The sequence below is a fragment of the Homo sapiens genome, chromosome 3, assembly GCF_000001405.40.
Source record: "Homo sapiens chromosome 3, GRCh38.p14 Primary Assembly".
NCBI lineage: Eukaryota > Metazoa > Chordata > Mammalia > Primates > Hominidae > Homo > Homo sapiens.
Window position 1 is genome coordinate 193,800,493 of NC_000003.12, and position 15,511 is coordinate 193,816,003.

General features: G+C 44.7%; 2 annotated features.

Moving 5' to 3' along the window:
* Nucleotides 11,868-12,777: an enhancer, noted in NCBI's record as "OCT4-NANOG-H3K27ac-H3K4me1 hESC enhancer chr3:193530149-193531058 (GRCh37/hg19 assembly coordinates)". NCBI's record gives its function as "activates a minimal SCP1, AML or CMV promoter by ChIP-STARR-seq in naive and primed H9 embryonic stem cells {active_cell/tissue: H9 hESC(naive and primed)}" and the evidence as "EXISTENCE:reporter gene assay evidence [ECO:0000049][PMID:30033119]".
* Nucleotides 14,600-15,511: an enhancer, noted in NCBI's record as "OCT4-NANOG-H3K27ac-H3K4me1 hESC enhancer chr3:193532881-193533792 (GRCh37/hg19 assembly coordinates)". NCBI's record gives its function as "activates a minimal SCP1, AML or CMV promoter by ChIP-STARR-seq in naive H9 embryonic stem cells {active_cell/tissue: H9 hESC(naive)}" and the evidence as "EXISTENCE:reporter gene assay evidence [ECO:0000049][PMID:30033119]".

Below are 15,511 nucleotides of genomic sequence, written 5' to 3' on the forward strand. Positions count from 1 at the left end.
CTGAGCAGAGTTTTGCTCTTACCATGCTGTGATCCTGCCGTTATCTTCATCTGGCAGGGACTTCCTCTCCTGTTAAAACTTTTAAGCATTCCTTCTGTGCCGTATCTGTTACACAGAGCAATACATAATGGACTAGACAGGATTATTGGCCCAAATGACAAAACCAGATGTGATATGGAAGTTTTTTTCCTATAACCACACATACATCTTTGGCCTCACACAGCTGTTCATTGTAAATAGGAAGATTCACACAATGGGCGAGATGGGGTGCAAAACCCACCATCCACATTCCTTTAGGGGTAGGAAGTGGAGAAGGGGCATTCCTCAGGTCTTGTCTCCTGGCCCCAGCAGGTGTGAGCTGTTGCCTACAGGATGTGATCTGCAGATTGTGAAGGGGCCACCTTCTAGAGGACAGCATGGTAGCAAAAACCTCTTGGGATGGGAACCTGGGCCCCAGTGCTGCCGTTTCATGTCCCGAGATTTGGGACAAGTCGTGTCAGCACTCCAAGCCTCAGTGTGCTTCATCCATGCAGTGGGGATGAGAGAGTCCTTGTCCTAAAAATGTCTTTCTCAGGTTTTTAAAGTTAGGATTATGTTGGCCTCATAAAATGAGATGGGAAATGGTCATTTCTTTTCTTTTTTTCTGAGAGCTTCTGTAAAATGGGTCTATAAGTATGTGATAGAAGTCACCAGTGAGACCATCTGGGTCTGAAGCTTTCTTTGTGGGAATGTTTTTGAATAAGATGATGAATTGAAATTTTTGAATAGAAATTGGGCTGCTTAGATTTTCTGTTTCTTGTTGAGTCAGCATTGGTAAGTTATGTTTTTTGAGACATATGTTCCTTGAAATAAATTATTGACTTTGTTGACAGAGTTCATAGTATTCTTTTATTATCCTTTTAGTGTCTGTAGGATCTATAGGATATCCCTTCTTTCATCCTTGAAATAAGTCATTTATGTTTACTTTATTTTTTTCTTGATTAATTCATAAGGATTTGTAAAGTTTATTAATCTTGTCAAAGAATAAAGCGTGGCTTTGCCAATTGTTTCTATTTGGAGTATGGTTTTTATTTCATTGCTTTCTGGTCTTTCATTTATTTCTTTTTTCTTATGTTCATACTTTTTTTCTCCGTTTTAGATTTAATGTGTTATTTTTCCAGCTTTCTAAGGTAGATACTTAGATCATTGATTTTAAACCTTTCTTCTTTTTAATATAAGCATTTAAGCTATAAATTACCATCTAAGCAATGCTTTAGTTGCATACCATACATTTTGGTATGTTGTATATTCATTATCAGTCAGTTTAAAATATTTTCTTTTTTCTTTCTTTCTTTTTTTTTTTTTTTTTAAGACACAGTCTCCCTCTGTTGCCCAGGCTGGAGTGCAGTGGCACAGTCTTGGCTCACTCAGCCTCTACCTCCCAGGTTCAAGTGATTCTTATGCCTCAGCCACCCAAATAGCTGGCATTACAGGCGTGCTCCACCAAGCCTGGCCAATTTTTGTGTTTTTAGTAGAGACCGGGTTTCACCATGTTGGTCAGGCTGGTCTCAAACTCTTGGCCTCAAGTGATCCGCCCACCTCGGCCTCCCAAAGTGCTTGGATTACAGGTGTGAGCCACCACGCCTGGCCTCAAAATATTTTCTAACTTCCCTTTTAATTAATTCTTTGACCCAGGTCCAAGTTCGAAGCATGTTATTTAATTTCTAAATATTTGGAGGATTTTCTAGGTATCTTATTGTAATTGGCTTGTAGCTTAGTTTTGTTTGCTGGAAGAATACATTCTGTAATACTTCAATTATTGGAAACATTTTGAGATATATTTTGGGCCTCAGCAAATGTTTGATCTCAGTCAATGTTCTATTTGCAGCTGAAAATCATGTGTATTTATACTTATTGGGTGTGGAAAGTTCTATAAATATCAATTAAGTTGTGTTGTTTGGATCTATATCTTTACTGTTTACTTTTTTGTATACTTGTCCTATTAATTACTAAGAGAGGGATTCATAGCAAGCTTTTTAAAGCATAAATCAGAATATGGCCTTCCCAGTGTAAATTCCTCAAAGTCATCTTAGTGCATTTAGAATAAAATCTAATCTAGCCTGGGCAACATGGCAAAACCCTGTCTCTACAAAAAATACAAAAAAAAATTAACCAGGCAGGGTGGTGCACGCCTGTGGTCCCAGCTACTCGGGAGGGTGAGGTGGGAGGCAGAGGTTGCAGTGAGCTGAGATCACGCTACTGCACTCCAGCCTGGGTGACAGAGTGAGAGACTGCGTCAAAAGAAAAAAAAAAAAAAGGAATAAAATAGAATCTTGCCCTGACCTGTAAGAGACTATATAATTCATTTCACGTCCTTCCCTCAGATCTCCTCTTCTAGGACACCAGCCACCTCCCCACCCTAAACACTAATTATACACCAGTCACTCTGGCTTTTTCTCTGTTCTCTTAACCCACTAAATCTATTCCTCAGGACTTTTGCATTTGCTATTGCTGTTCCCTTAGCGTGGGCTTATATCTTCACCCAGATGATCGCACAGCTACCTCCTTCACACCCCTTAAACCCAAATGTCATTGCCCCAGAGATACCTCCCAGGACCTCTCTATCTGGAGCATTCTTTATCACATCACCCTGAATTATTCTCTTTCAATAATTTTTAACTATTAAAATTAACCCCTTTTATTAATTTTTTTGTGTTTATGGTTTGTATGTTAGTTGTGTTCAATGCTCCATTTCTAAAGCTGAGAATAGAGCTGGCTTGTAGTGGATATTCAATAAATACTTGTTGTATGATTGGATCATGGTTGGAAGGATGGGTGGATAGACTATCAGTATCTAACGCCATTCAATATTATCTGTCTTGTTTCATAACTGTCTCCATTTAGGTGTTATGACTGGGCTGTGAGGTCTTTGAAAACAGGAACTCATTCTACTTTATCTCTATCTCTATGTCTCTGACACAGCAGAGCAATTGCCCAGTAAATAATTGTTGGACAAAACTATGGATGGCCCAGGTGCTTTCAGAATACTCTGTACACACCTGTCAGCAGTCACTTTATTGCATAACTGTTCTCAATCAACTAAGCCAGAGTTTGGCACAGGGCCTCGTACATAATGTATGCTCAATACATGCTAGCAGAAAGAAAGAAGAAAAGAGGGGGCCGGGTGCGGTGGCTCACACCTGTAATCCTAGCACTTTGGGAGGCCGAGGCAGGTGGATCACAAGGTCAGGAGTTCGAGACCAGCCTGGCCAACATAGTGAAACCCCATCTCTACTAAAAATACAAAAATTAGCCAGGCATGGTGGCGCGCGACTGTAGTCCCAGCTACTTGGGAGGCTGAGGCAGGAGAATTGCTTGAACCTGGGAGGCGGGGGTTGTGGTGAGACGAGATTGCGCCACTGAACTCCAGCCTGGGTAACAAAACAATACTCTGCTAAAAAAAAAAAAAAAAAGAAAAGAAAAGAAAAGAGGGTAGGAAGAAACCTGTCACAGCTCTGATGAAAGCATTAGCTGCAAATTTCAAGTCTGGGGCCCCAAGATCAAAATGTTAGAAAGGGTCTCCTTGCCCGTTAGTTACTTTGAGAAGTCAGAAGAACTACAGTTCCTCAGTGGATGTTACACTTACCAGGTGTGGGATGCTCCCATCACAGGCAAAGGAAGCAGGGCTATAGAAATGGTTTATTCCCCTATAGCCCTGTAGTATAGAACAGATGTCACAGCAGTTGCCCAGAAAAATGGTGACCAAAGCATTTTCATGTACATCTGATTAGCCGTGAAGGCTTAATTGTTTCTTAAATGTTTGTTGGAAAAGAATACTTTCTAGTGAAGAAGAAAGAACAAAAAATGTGCACCACAGACCATGAAATCATTTCTGCTCCGATCGTTGAACATCCAGTGTCTTTTCCTTTAAAGGATTCAAATTAACCTGGGACTTATAGAAGTTTTGTCACTGTTGCATGAAACACTGATTTCATTAGAACTCCCAGAACTTCTCTTCCACTGCACCGCGAGCTTTGTCTGTGACAGCTTATTCACTCTCTCCTCCCATGCCTAGCCACAGGCTTGACCCTAGGTTGCACTTAGCAAGTGGGCTTTGAGTTGAAAAAACGCAGACTTGGAAGCTGCATTGTTCTCGCCTGAGGTGGATAAATATTGAGGTGGTCAATCAACCTTTGTGGCCCACCATCCCCTGCTCCCTGCAGCCCACCTGCACCAATGATGGCTGTGCAGATCCATGGTGGGGCTGCCCAAGTTTCTCCTCAGCTTCATTCACTTTATCCAGAATGAGAAGGAGAGCCAGGGTTAGGTCAGGTTTTGACATATGATAGTTCTGATTCCATGAAGTAAGTAACTAGCTAAACCATTACAGAATATTGGGTATTTGTGGAAAATCTGCCATTTGGTTTCCTTAGACGGTGATATACAATTCTGGAGAGGTGTGAATATCAGGATTGACTTATTTTGGTCTATAACCCTGTACTATGTTCTAGTAATAAAAATGATAAATCCTATATGTAGAAACAAAGGCTAGCAAGTGCCCAAAAGACAGGGTAGAAATGGATGAAAATTGCAGACTTAAATCTGGATTCCTATGTATATCATTTACCCATCAGATCCTAATGAAATGCTAACACAGGACTCCTAAGATAAATATCTCTGATGTTACATTATATAAAATGAGGTTTATAATAAAAATTTTTAAGATTAAGATTGTTGTTTGGTGGGGGGAGGGATAGCATAAGGAGATATACCTAATGTAAATGATGAGTTAATGGGTGCAGCACACCAACATGGCACATGTACACATATGTAACAAACCTGCACGTTGTGCACATGTACCCTAGAACTTAAAGTATAATAATAAAAAAAAAAAAGAAAAAAAAGAAACTGGAGATATTTTCTGGTTTATATGACTTTCTAAAAGGCATTTTTAAAGTATAATCTATATATCCATGATGCATATTACGGCATCCAAATTTACAGGCTTATTTTTAAATGAAAGAAAAAGAAAAATCTATCAGAAAAAGTCAGAGCCGGATGGAGCCTTTATGTGTAGATGGTCCACGCTGTCTGTAAATAAGCAGGTTGGCCTTCAGCAGGGGTTTCCAAACTCTGGTTCTTGGACCGGGGCCAGCTCCCGCTGCCTGCTGCATCACCTTGCAAACTTATTAACCAGGCAGATTGCCAGGCCGCATCCCTGGAGGCTCTGAGTCAGCCAACTCAGTCTGGGAACCATTGGATTTAAGGCGCTTTCCCAGACATGAGATTCAAGAAGCCTGTGACTCCAGGCTTATCCCTGTCCTTCATCACTAAGGATGGTCAGCGTGAGGATAAAAATGGCATTAGGTCCATCTGTACTGGGACTGGGCCTCTGTGTTAGAAAGGACTTTGGGTCCTCAATCGTTGTTGAAACTTTTTAATTCATAAGTGACACTTTTCTGGTTGCCATATACAAACCTACAGCTCTAGCCACACTGATCTCATTCATTCATTTGTTCACTTGTATCACAAACATTTACTGAGTGCCTACTGAGAATGCAGTTGTCAGTTCTGCTTTTAAGTCCAGTGACAACAGCAGGCACGTACACAGATTTATGACCCAATGATTATGGAGAAAGAGCAAAGTATTAGGGTAGCATCTAGAAGGAACTATCATGATCCATCCCCTAGGGATGAACACATTTCCACTTCAAGCTGAAAAACGAAAAAAATTGCTGGGGAGGCAAATAGACAACCCAAAGTATCTGTCAACAAGGCCATCACAATCATTCAGTAAACCATGTTAATTTCTTAGTTCATAACTGGACCATGGTTATACGAGATGCCAACATTAGGAAAGCTGGGTGAAGGGTGTATGGGAACACTCTATATTATCCATTATCCTTGCAAATCATCTATAAGTTTAAATTTTTAAACAAGTTTTAGAAAATTATCATTTAGATAGAGAAGACAAGGGAGAGACCCAAGGTAGTGACTGTGGGGATAGCTGAGCCAGGCATTTTTGAGAGATTTAGGAGGTAGAATGAAGAGAATTGAGGCATTGTTCAAGTGTGGAAGGATGAAGGAGAGGGGTGCTTTGACCAATAGTGGGACATGGGGCATGATTCCCTGGGCTAGAAGAGGCAGGGTCTGGGAGGAAGGATGGTGAGATCAGAGGTAGGTGTGGTGACTTGGATGTGCTTGTGGGAGCTTCATGTGGAGAAGGTTGGAAGAGCATTTAATATCTAGGTCTGGGGCTCAGAAGAGGGGTTGATGCTACATATAAAGATCTGGAAATCAACAAGGAACAAATGAGGAAACCATGACTATGACAGTAATAGAAATAAGTAAGATGCATGGACTTCTTCTGAAGAGGGTTAGAGATTGATAAATAAAAAATGAGTAGCGGTCAGAGCCTTAGAGGAGCTCGACAGAGAAAGAATAAGTGGAAAAAAAGAATCCAAAGAGGCAGAGGGAACACCAGCCAAGTATGATGTTACAAAGGCCAAAGGGAGGAAGGATTTTCAAGACAGAGGCAAGACCAATACACAGAAAGGTCAAGTAAGACAAGAACAGCAATTAGCGGGTTGTTGGCAACTTTGGTGAGTTTAAATTAATCATTATCTTTCAACTAAATGTTTTGGATAGCACAAAAACAATACGGAAAAATCAGTGAATATTTTAAAGTACCTGCTTTGATGAAACACGCCCTGAGCATCAGTCACCCTGGTATTGTGAAGAATCCATGTGTGATCTTGGGTGTCAGGCAGACCTAAGATCAAACAGTGGCTCTGTCACTTGCCAAGTGAGAGACTTTGAGCAAGTTACTTAATTAACCTTTTCAGTTGCACCTGTAAAATGAGGATAGTACTACACACCTTTCTTGTTGAGGATTAAAGATAATGCATGTAAAGCTTCTACCATGGTGTCTGGCTCATAAAGAATGAAAGCCATTATTATGGGCCAGGTACTCCCCTTCTGGTCTCTAAAGTACCTTATACATCCACCTCCTGTGTCACTGATTATGACTTACTGAAACAACTTGGTCTTTATAACTGTCTCCCAACCCCAGCCTTCACCAGACTGCCAGCTTCTTAAGGATGTCTTATTCAACTTAGTTTCCCCATCAGCCAACACAGAGCAGACATCCAGGAGGTGAACTTGCTGTGCAGGATCAGAAGGAAGCACTGGAGGTGGGCCCTGCCTTAGAGATACTCATGGGAAGATTTCTTCTACGAGATGAAATTGGAGATGCAGGTCTGAAAGCAAGATAGTTGTGTGCTCACATGGGCCTGCAAGGAGCTGAAGGTCATTTTTTAAAGTTTGCAATCAATCTAATTCTGTAAATCTCAAAGAAAGGATGATAAATCAGAGAAACTGAGGAGGACACGTGGTGCAACTTGATAGTTCACTGATTCACCCAAACTCACACAATATGACTCTATAATTATGGAGAGGATACCTTTCTGAATCAAGAAGAAAAAGAAAAACTATAAAAGTCAGGATACATAGTCTAATGAAGGATTGTGAGCAGGCACCAGGTATGAAAGAGAATCTGGAAGGGTAACAGCTTGAATGTCAGGCTATGGGGATTTTTAAGCCATTTTAAGAGCTCCATAAGAAGCATCTCTGAAGCCAGGGCCATCCTAGGCCACCACCAAGTGAGAGCCCAGAGTGGCTCATACACCCACTATGTTAGTTTCCTACGGCTCCCGTAGCAAACGATCACAAGCTGGGTGAAAAATGTATGGCCTCACAATTCTAGAGGCCAGAAGTCTGATACCAAAGTATTGGCAGGGATAGTTCTTTACTGGGGACTCGGAGGGAGAATCTGTGCCTTGCCTCTCTCCTAGCTTCTGGCGGCTGCTGGCAATCCTGCGCGTTTCTTGGCTTTTACAAGCATCACTCCGGTCTCCACCTCTGTCTTCACATGACGCTTCCCCACTGTGTGTCTCTGCGTCCAAATCTTCCTCTTTTTATAAGGACACCAGTCATTGGATTAGGGCCTCCCCTCAATTTAGTATGACCTCATCTTTACTTGATTACATTTACACAGACCCTATTTCCAAATGAGTCACATGCACAAGTCCTGGGGGTTAGAACGTTGACATATTGTTTTGAGGGACACAGTTCAACCTACAAAACTTCCAGGTGCTCCTGCTGCCCTTCCACCCTTGCACACTATTCCCCGGCCTCTGAGAGCTCTGTGCAGTGATTCAGTCTTGCCATATTCTCACCTCTCCATACCTGCAAACATGCTGGGCCTTTTCCCAGGCATGCTCCTTTCAGCCCCTTCTCTTCCACTGGGAAACTAGTTGGGATGTTATCCTTTAAAACTCAGGAGATATTTCCCATTTTCTAGGAAGATTTTCCTCCCTCTCATTGCTTCTCAGAATCACTTGCTGGATTTTCAGTTCCCCCTAAACCCCTCTGTGTATCTTGAGTATGACATTTAGCAAGATAGATTATGACAAATTGTTGACGTGCCTTCTCTTTTCAGTAGACTGCAAGCTTTGTGAAAACAGTAGTCACAGATTTTACCTCTGCATTCTCTATGCCTGCTACACAGTGGATATCCAACTGCTTAAGAGTCAGAATTTGGTAGGAGGCTTAACTCAATGCTCTGTGGCATTGGAGTCTGTTTGAATGGGCCAGTCTGGTCAAGCTAAATTGTGCCATTTCTTCTAGCCCAAACCAACACTTTCCATGGGGTCAAGCGTGGGCTGTCAGTGAATTTCCAACCTAATTTCCTCTCCTTCCCATCTCTGTGGGAGGTCTTTGTGCTGGACCCTGTCAGGCCAAGCCTGATGTGAGCTGACAGGCTGGGCTGGTGGCTCCCCAGTCTGCTCTAAGGGAGGCTGCAAGCAAGGGCTGTTGGCTGGTGGGGTCCAGTGCCACAATGCCACATTCAGTGGCTGCTGGGGGGTTCCCCTGTGTGTGTGTGGGCAGCTCATGGTCCAAGGCCAGCGAAGGCCCATAAAAATGTCAGGCCTGTGCAAAGGACAGAGCTCTTTGGCCTTCTTTCTCCCCTGGCTAGAGGTTTTCTTCCTAGTTATGTCTCCTTAAAAGAAGCCCTTCCTTTTCTCCACCTGGGGATCCTGCCCCTCCAGTGTTCTCACCAACAAGTATACAGAGCAGAGGTCAGAGGAGACACGGCACAGACGTCAGTGGCATTTCAGAGCATAAAACTCTTCTCAAAAGAAGGTTTAATCCAATCCCTTCTCACAGATGGGGAAACTGAAGCCTGGGATGAGAGACTTGCCTAAGACCATGCAGAAAACTGGCAAGAGAGAGAGGGATAGAGCCTAGTTCCCCAATCCCAGACAGGGGCTCTTCGCTTCATCCACATTACCTCTGCCTGTCTCTTCCAAGAAAGAAGAGAGTGAAGGCTTAACTGACATTTGACAGCAGAACAAACTACATAAGAACTTCACCTAACCCCTTTCCCTGACTCTGTCTACGTAAAAGAGTGTTAATTATTCAAAGAGGTACTGACTCCATTCTCAGGGACAGGACAGAGAGGAGACAGTGTTTGCTGTTCAGGGCTAGGACATCAATGCATCACCGTTCCTGGAGATCACAGCTCAGGAATACTACAGAGATAAAAATGGACTTGAATGTTGACTGCACATTCAATAAAAGGTTAAATGTGGCCGGGCGCAGTGGCTCACGCCTGTAATCCCAGCACTTTGGGAGGCCAAGGCGGGTGAACTGCCTGAGCTCAGGAGTTCAAGACCAGCCTGACCAACATGGTGAAACCCTGCCTCTACTAAAAATACAAAAAATTAGCCAGGGGTGGTGGCACATGCCTGTATCCCAGCTGCTCAGGAGGCTGAGGCAGGAGAATTGCTTGAACCCAGGAGGCGGAGGTTGCAGTGAGCAGAGATCGTGCCACTGTACTCCAGCCTGGGCGACAGAGTGAGACTCCGTCTCAAAAAAACCCCCAAAAAACAAAAAACAAAGGTTAAATGTGCTTTAACCTTTCATTAAAACAAAAACCGGTTCATTCTTCACCACTTATTTATAGGGCCCAAGTGTTCAATTAGTGTCTTAAAAAAATAAGGGGGAAAAGGATATTTAGATGCCTTTAAATTCAAGTCAACGAGAGCCAAATGAAACACCAACAGTCTCACATTTGTGGGAGTCGGTTCTGTCACCACTTTTCTTCAGCTATTCCTCTCTCCACCATTGGCCAGCATGAGCCCTAATGCTGGGATAGATGGAAGCTCACGTTCTTCAGTCTAGTTCCAAGGCCCCCACCAGAGCTTGCTGCCCACCTGCCCTTCTATTTCCATTCCTAGGCCTCACCTCACTGACATGAATTCCTTCACTGCATGCTGCACTTGTACTGCCTCTTTTTCTTTTCTTGGGATTCCCTCTCCTCTTTTTCTCCCCTCATCTCCGTGCTTCCCTCTCTACCTGTCTAAATCCTAAATCTACCTTCAAGGTCATAAAACACTCCTGCATCCCTCCAGTCTCATATTTCTTTCTTTGAGTCTGATCTCCAGGGCACCTGATTTGCCTCTACAGAGGAAAATGGGGCTTCCTGCCTAGTGATGGACTCTCCATCCATTCATGTATTCATTTAGTGTTTATTTACTACTCATCGATTCATTTAAGTCGTTTACAGAATACCTTCTCTGTGTCAACAGTGCCTGCCTCAAGGAGCTCACCTCTCAATGTGGAAGACAGAAAACAGATAATTGTAACAGCATAACCATTGCCACAGGATCGAAAATGCATTCCGAAGGCAGTGGAAAGTCACTGAAGGATTTAAAAGAGGCAAAGCAGTGACAGAAACAAATATGTGTTCTCAAACCTGTTCTTGGAGCAACGTAGAGGGTGGATTTGGTGAGGGTGGGAGTGTGGTGTGAGGATAATGATGGTGCTAAAGTGAGGGTTACAAGGCTCATCAGAAGGTTATTGCAATCATTCCAGCACAATATGAAAGTGCACCCCAAGGGAGAAACAGAAGGAATACAGGGGAGGGGAAATGACTGTGGGCAGGGACTGTGTATGTCTAAGACCCCATGGTTTCTGGTTGGCCCTTTTGTGTGGAAGGTCACTGTTTCCAGCAGGAGTAGGTTGAGGGAAGGGCTGAGGGGCTCACTCCTGCCCATGTTATGATTAAGGAGATTGAGTGCAGGAAGACAGAGGTCTACATGGCTATTCCATGGCTATGGAGCTTAGGTCCCCAGCAGGCTGTAGATCTCATGGATATATTTTCCCTGTTGGTACTTGAGGTCAGAAACAGAGACTGAGAACTACTGGTTTTTTGGTCCTTTCTTGAGTATGTAGATGTTCATTTGCCTTGTGAGTCAATGCAGGACCGAAACTCCAAAATAGGCAGTATAAATGGAGAGAAGGCACATTTATTGGGCAGAGTAACCAGTGGGAGCCTAATCACTTTGATTTGCCACTCACCACAGCTCCCTAGCCCCGGTTTATTCACCTATGATGGAGATGTTGATACCTGGGACACAGGACCACCGTGAGGCCATGATCTCATGTGTTCTCATCCGCCAGCCTCATGAGTCTGTGGAAGAAGCATTGCCTTCAGGAGCTTGCAGTCATAGTTCTGGTCATGCCTTTGGACAAATGGCTTCTATTTGCTGAGTTTTAATTTTCTGTCTTAATTGCAGGATCTGAAATACCATCTCCAAGTTTAGGATGTTACATCCCAAAGATAGTGTAAGAAACTCCTGATTTAAAGAGTCATAACCACACCTACTACACTTCAAGGCTCACTAAATGAGAACAAGAATGGCAAAATGACTATCAAATGTCATGAAGATAGCCAAGCCTTGGGATCATTACTCACTGCGGCCTGACAGCTTCAGAGTGGCGGCTTATGTTCATTTCCCCACAAGCAGGGCATTAAGGGACCTCTTGGCACTGGGGGTGTCTATTCCTGTAACAAAGTCAACTGAGCCATATCCACATTTTCTCTAAAATAATAACTCACTTTGCAGAGAATGCAGAGACATTGTAATGCTGATGCCAGAGGAACGGGACAGGGGAAGAGAGAAGCCTGGAGCATCATGTGGGGGTGGAGCTTTGGAGAGGAGACCAAATTGCCTCTTGCATTCTACCTGGGCTTGAGTGCATTGTAGTGGAGAGACCACGAATTGGATGCTCCGCATGATCTGACTGGAGTCCTGACTCTGTTACCTACCCAATAGAGGACTTTGGAGAGTTACTTAACCCCAACTTAGCCTCTCTTGGTCTCTTCATCTGCAAAACAGGAATAGCACCAGCACCCCTGGGAAGTGATTGTGAGAATGAAATGAAAGAATATAGGACCTGGCACAGGTTGTGGCCAGTACAATTTAGTGACCTCTATAGAAACATTATTCTTCAATCACCTTCCAGTTTTCCAAACCAAGGGGAAGCTACCAGTGGGCGGGAATGGGCCATGGCCAGCTTGGGGTCCTCTGACTGTGCTGGGGGAAGGGAGGCCTCCCTTGTTTCTTCCTGCAGCCTTGGGGAGTCCTTTCATATGCATCTGCCCAGGCTAGGGGATTAGGCAAATGCAGGCCACAATTTGCAAAACAGCACGTCTGTCACGTTTGCTGCAGGAAATTTTCATGGGGACTCTTGTTAACTGGTGAGACTGCAGTGCTCTGATGAGGACAGGTCTCAAGTGTGGATCAGCCTTTTGGATAAGCATGAATCCTGTTTGCCTACTCCTTAGCCTCCCAGGGGTGGGGCACTACTTCCAATGAACCAGGGTTTGAACAAAAGCTGGGATTTGTTTTCCAGTGTGAAATCTAGCAGGAAGATGTCTGTGTTTAAATCAAGGCCCCAGCCCCTCACCCCCACTACCTCAGACCCTCCCAGCTCTTCTAGTGCCACCTGCAGTCTGGGGTGAGGGTGTCAATGTGTGTTTGGAGGGTAGAGGCGTGAGGGCAGAGAGGACTTTGTATTGGGTATTACCCCAGAGCAGGAAAGGGTTATTCAGTTAAACATTCATTAACTTATCACCTACTTTGCACCTAGCCGGACGCTAGACACAGGCGGAGCTGAGGGAGAGGCAATAGGGGACTGGGGTCTTTTGCTTCAAGAAACAGAGTCTATAGAGGAATAAAGGGCTATGCACAGCTGCACTGCAAAGCTAAATACAAGCACGCAAAGAAAAGTTCACAGGTGTTTTTGTCCCAGCAATAGAAGGCTGCATTCCAGGCCACCGGCCCTCACATTTCTAGCCTCAGGCTTTTAGAGACATTCCAGCCACTTACCTGCAAGACTTCCTAAGCAACATACCCTGTCCAGAAGAGAAAACAAAACTGCACCTGCCTGAGAGATAAGAAGCATATATTTATGTCTTTCATCCTTCTCTCAGAGGCAATTTACTACGATGGAGGCTCTAAGAGAATAAAGAAAGGCATGAGGGACCCAGTCTGCTGCTGCTTCGATTTGTCCTTGGCTCTCGTGGTGACCTGGCTTGAAGGAAAACCTCAGTTGGAGGCTGATGTATGAAGAATGAACAAATGAATGAATAATGATACACAGATGAGCATATCACAGCCCTGCTGCATAGGGACTCTACGGGGCAAAATTCAGAGTTCTCAATCACACAATTAGCCACCTGCTTGAGCAGATTCAAGATCAATGCTTTCTTCCGGGCACTGTACTGGCTTCACTCAGAACAAGTCCCACGTTGAGGAGAAAGACCAGCATCTTGACTGGGTGAGAGTGTAACTCACATTCTTGAACTCACACTTTTCTAGTGTCAAAAATTACCAACCGCACGGAAAGATTTGCCCTGTAGGTCTCCTCAGAGAGTGCAGCTGAGATTGTCAGCGTGAAGACCAGGTGGCCTCTGAACTGCTTGTCTTAGCATTCAGGACCGCTATGACCTGCTCCTGCCTGCCCCTTCCTACCCTTGACACTCAGAACCCACCTCACCCACTGCTCTTCTTCACACACAGCTCACTTGACCTTGGCACGTTCTTCTCAGCTGCGCCCATGTTCCCCACCGCCTAGACTTGGCTCATGGGTGGACTTCCATGACCTCTGCCTGCTTAGTCTTTAGCCCCCCACAGAAGTCCTCACCAAATGAAGTTTCCTCCAGTCCCTCCACTTGACAGGAACTTCTCTCCACTGTGTTAGCGGGGTATGGTGAGTGTAGCTCTGTGAGTTGGAGGCTCTGTGCATGCAGTGGAGCCAGCAGAGCCCACACAGACTGGCGAGCCCGTGGACTTCAGACATGTATGTGGACCAGCTGATTTGCTTCAGGGAAAGGGGCCCTGGGTACTTTGGTTCTTCATGTGTTTGGATCACTGATTGAGATGAAGACAAGGTGCTATTAATTCAGGAGAGGTAGAGAGAGGCTGCAGGCCAGGGTAGTGTGAGATCCTAAAGGACTGAGAATGTCCCACTGTGGCTCTCCCATGCCCTTGTCCCGGGAATTGTTCCTTATGCTAATAGAGTGTGGATTGATTTTCTTCCACAACAGCCAGGTAAGGGTGTGCAGGGTTTACACAGCACAAGGACACCTGGCCACGGGGCCAAATGGGGATGGAATCCCAACCACCCTCCACGTCCTAAGCTATATGCTTGGATGGGGTTACCCAGACAGCAAAAGGGGCACTGTTTTCTAATACACACAAAGATAAAGTGTGGGCTAGAGGCCTGCCCTAACATTTGCAGAGCCTGGGGCAAGAATGCAAATTAATCAATCTATTATTTAAAAGTTATAAAATAAGCCTAAAACTATTAACTAAAATATATTTTATCCTTCAGCCAAGACAAATAGATCTTTATAATAACATGAAGCCCATGTTCTAATTTAGAATTCTCAAAAGGGGAGCTTACCCCTAGCCCATGCCCAACCCCCTTCCCTTCCCTTCCCCAGCAATGTCCTTGCCCACAAGGACCATTATGCATCCCCATCTGGACACAGCAGGGCACCCAGCTCAGAAGCCCAGGTCCTCTTCCAAATCCCTTGAATGCAAATATCCTGTGTTGCCCCTGGACCTAGGGGTGCACACACTGGCTGTGTATCCCTCGGTGGCCCCCGGGCTTAGGGGTGGGTGCACATGCTGGTTATATATCCCTTGGTGGTCCCTAGGCTTTGAGGTGCACGCACTGGCAGCATATCCTGGGCCTAGGGGTACACACGCTGGCTGTACAATCCATACTTGGGAGAACAAATCTGAGGAAAGACCCATGTAGGCCCCAGACCTGGCTAGTGGTGTTTTGACAGGGAATTCCAGATGCTCAGGGTAAGGACTAGACTGAGGAATGCAGGCTCCTGGTAGCCGTATGCCCTTGACTTGTTGGGCTCCTTGCCCATGGGCATGGGCATGGTCCTAGAAAGTGCTGGACTCCTCTAGCACAGGCCTAGGCGTGAGATTGCTGTACTGGTAGCAGCCGTAAGTGTTAAGTTCCACAGCTGGGTAGGTGGGGAGAATGAGGTGGCAAGCGTGGGCCTTCATCTAGCAATCCCTTGTCTGCCCAAGGCCAGGTGATGACATTCAGTGGCTCATGTCTGCTGCTCTGTCCAGCTCTTTGATGTCAGGTGCCATGT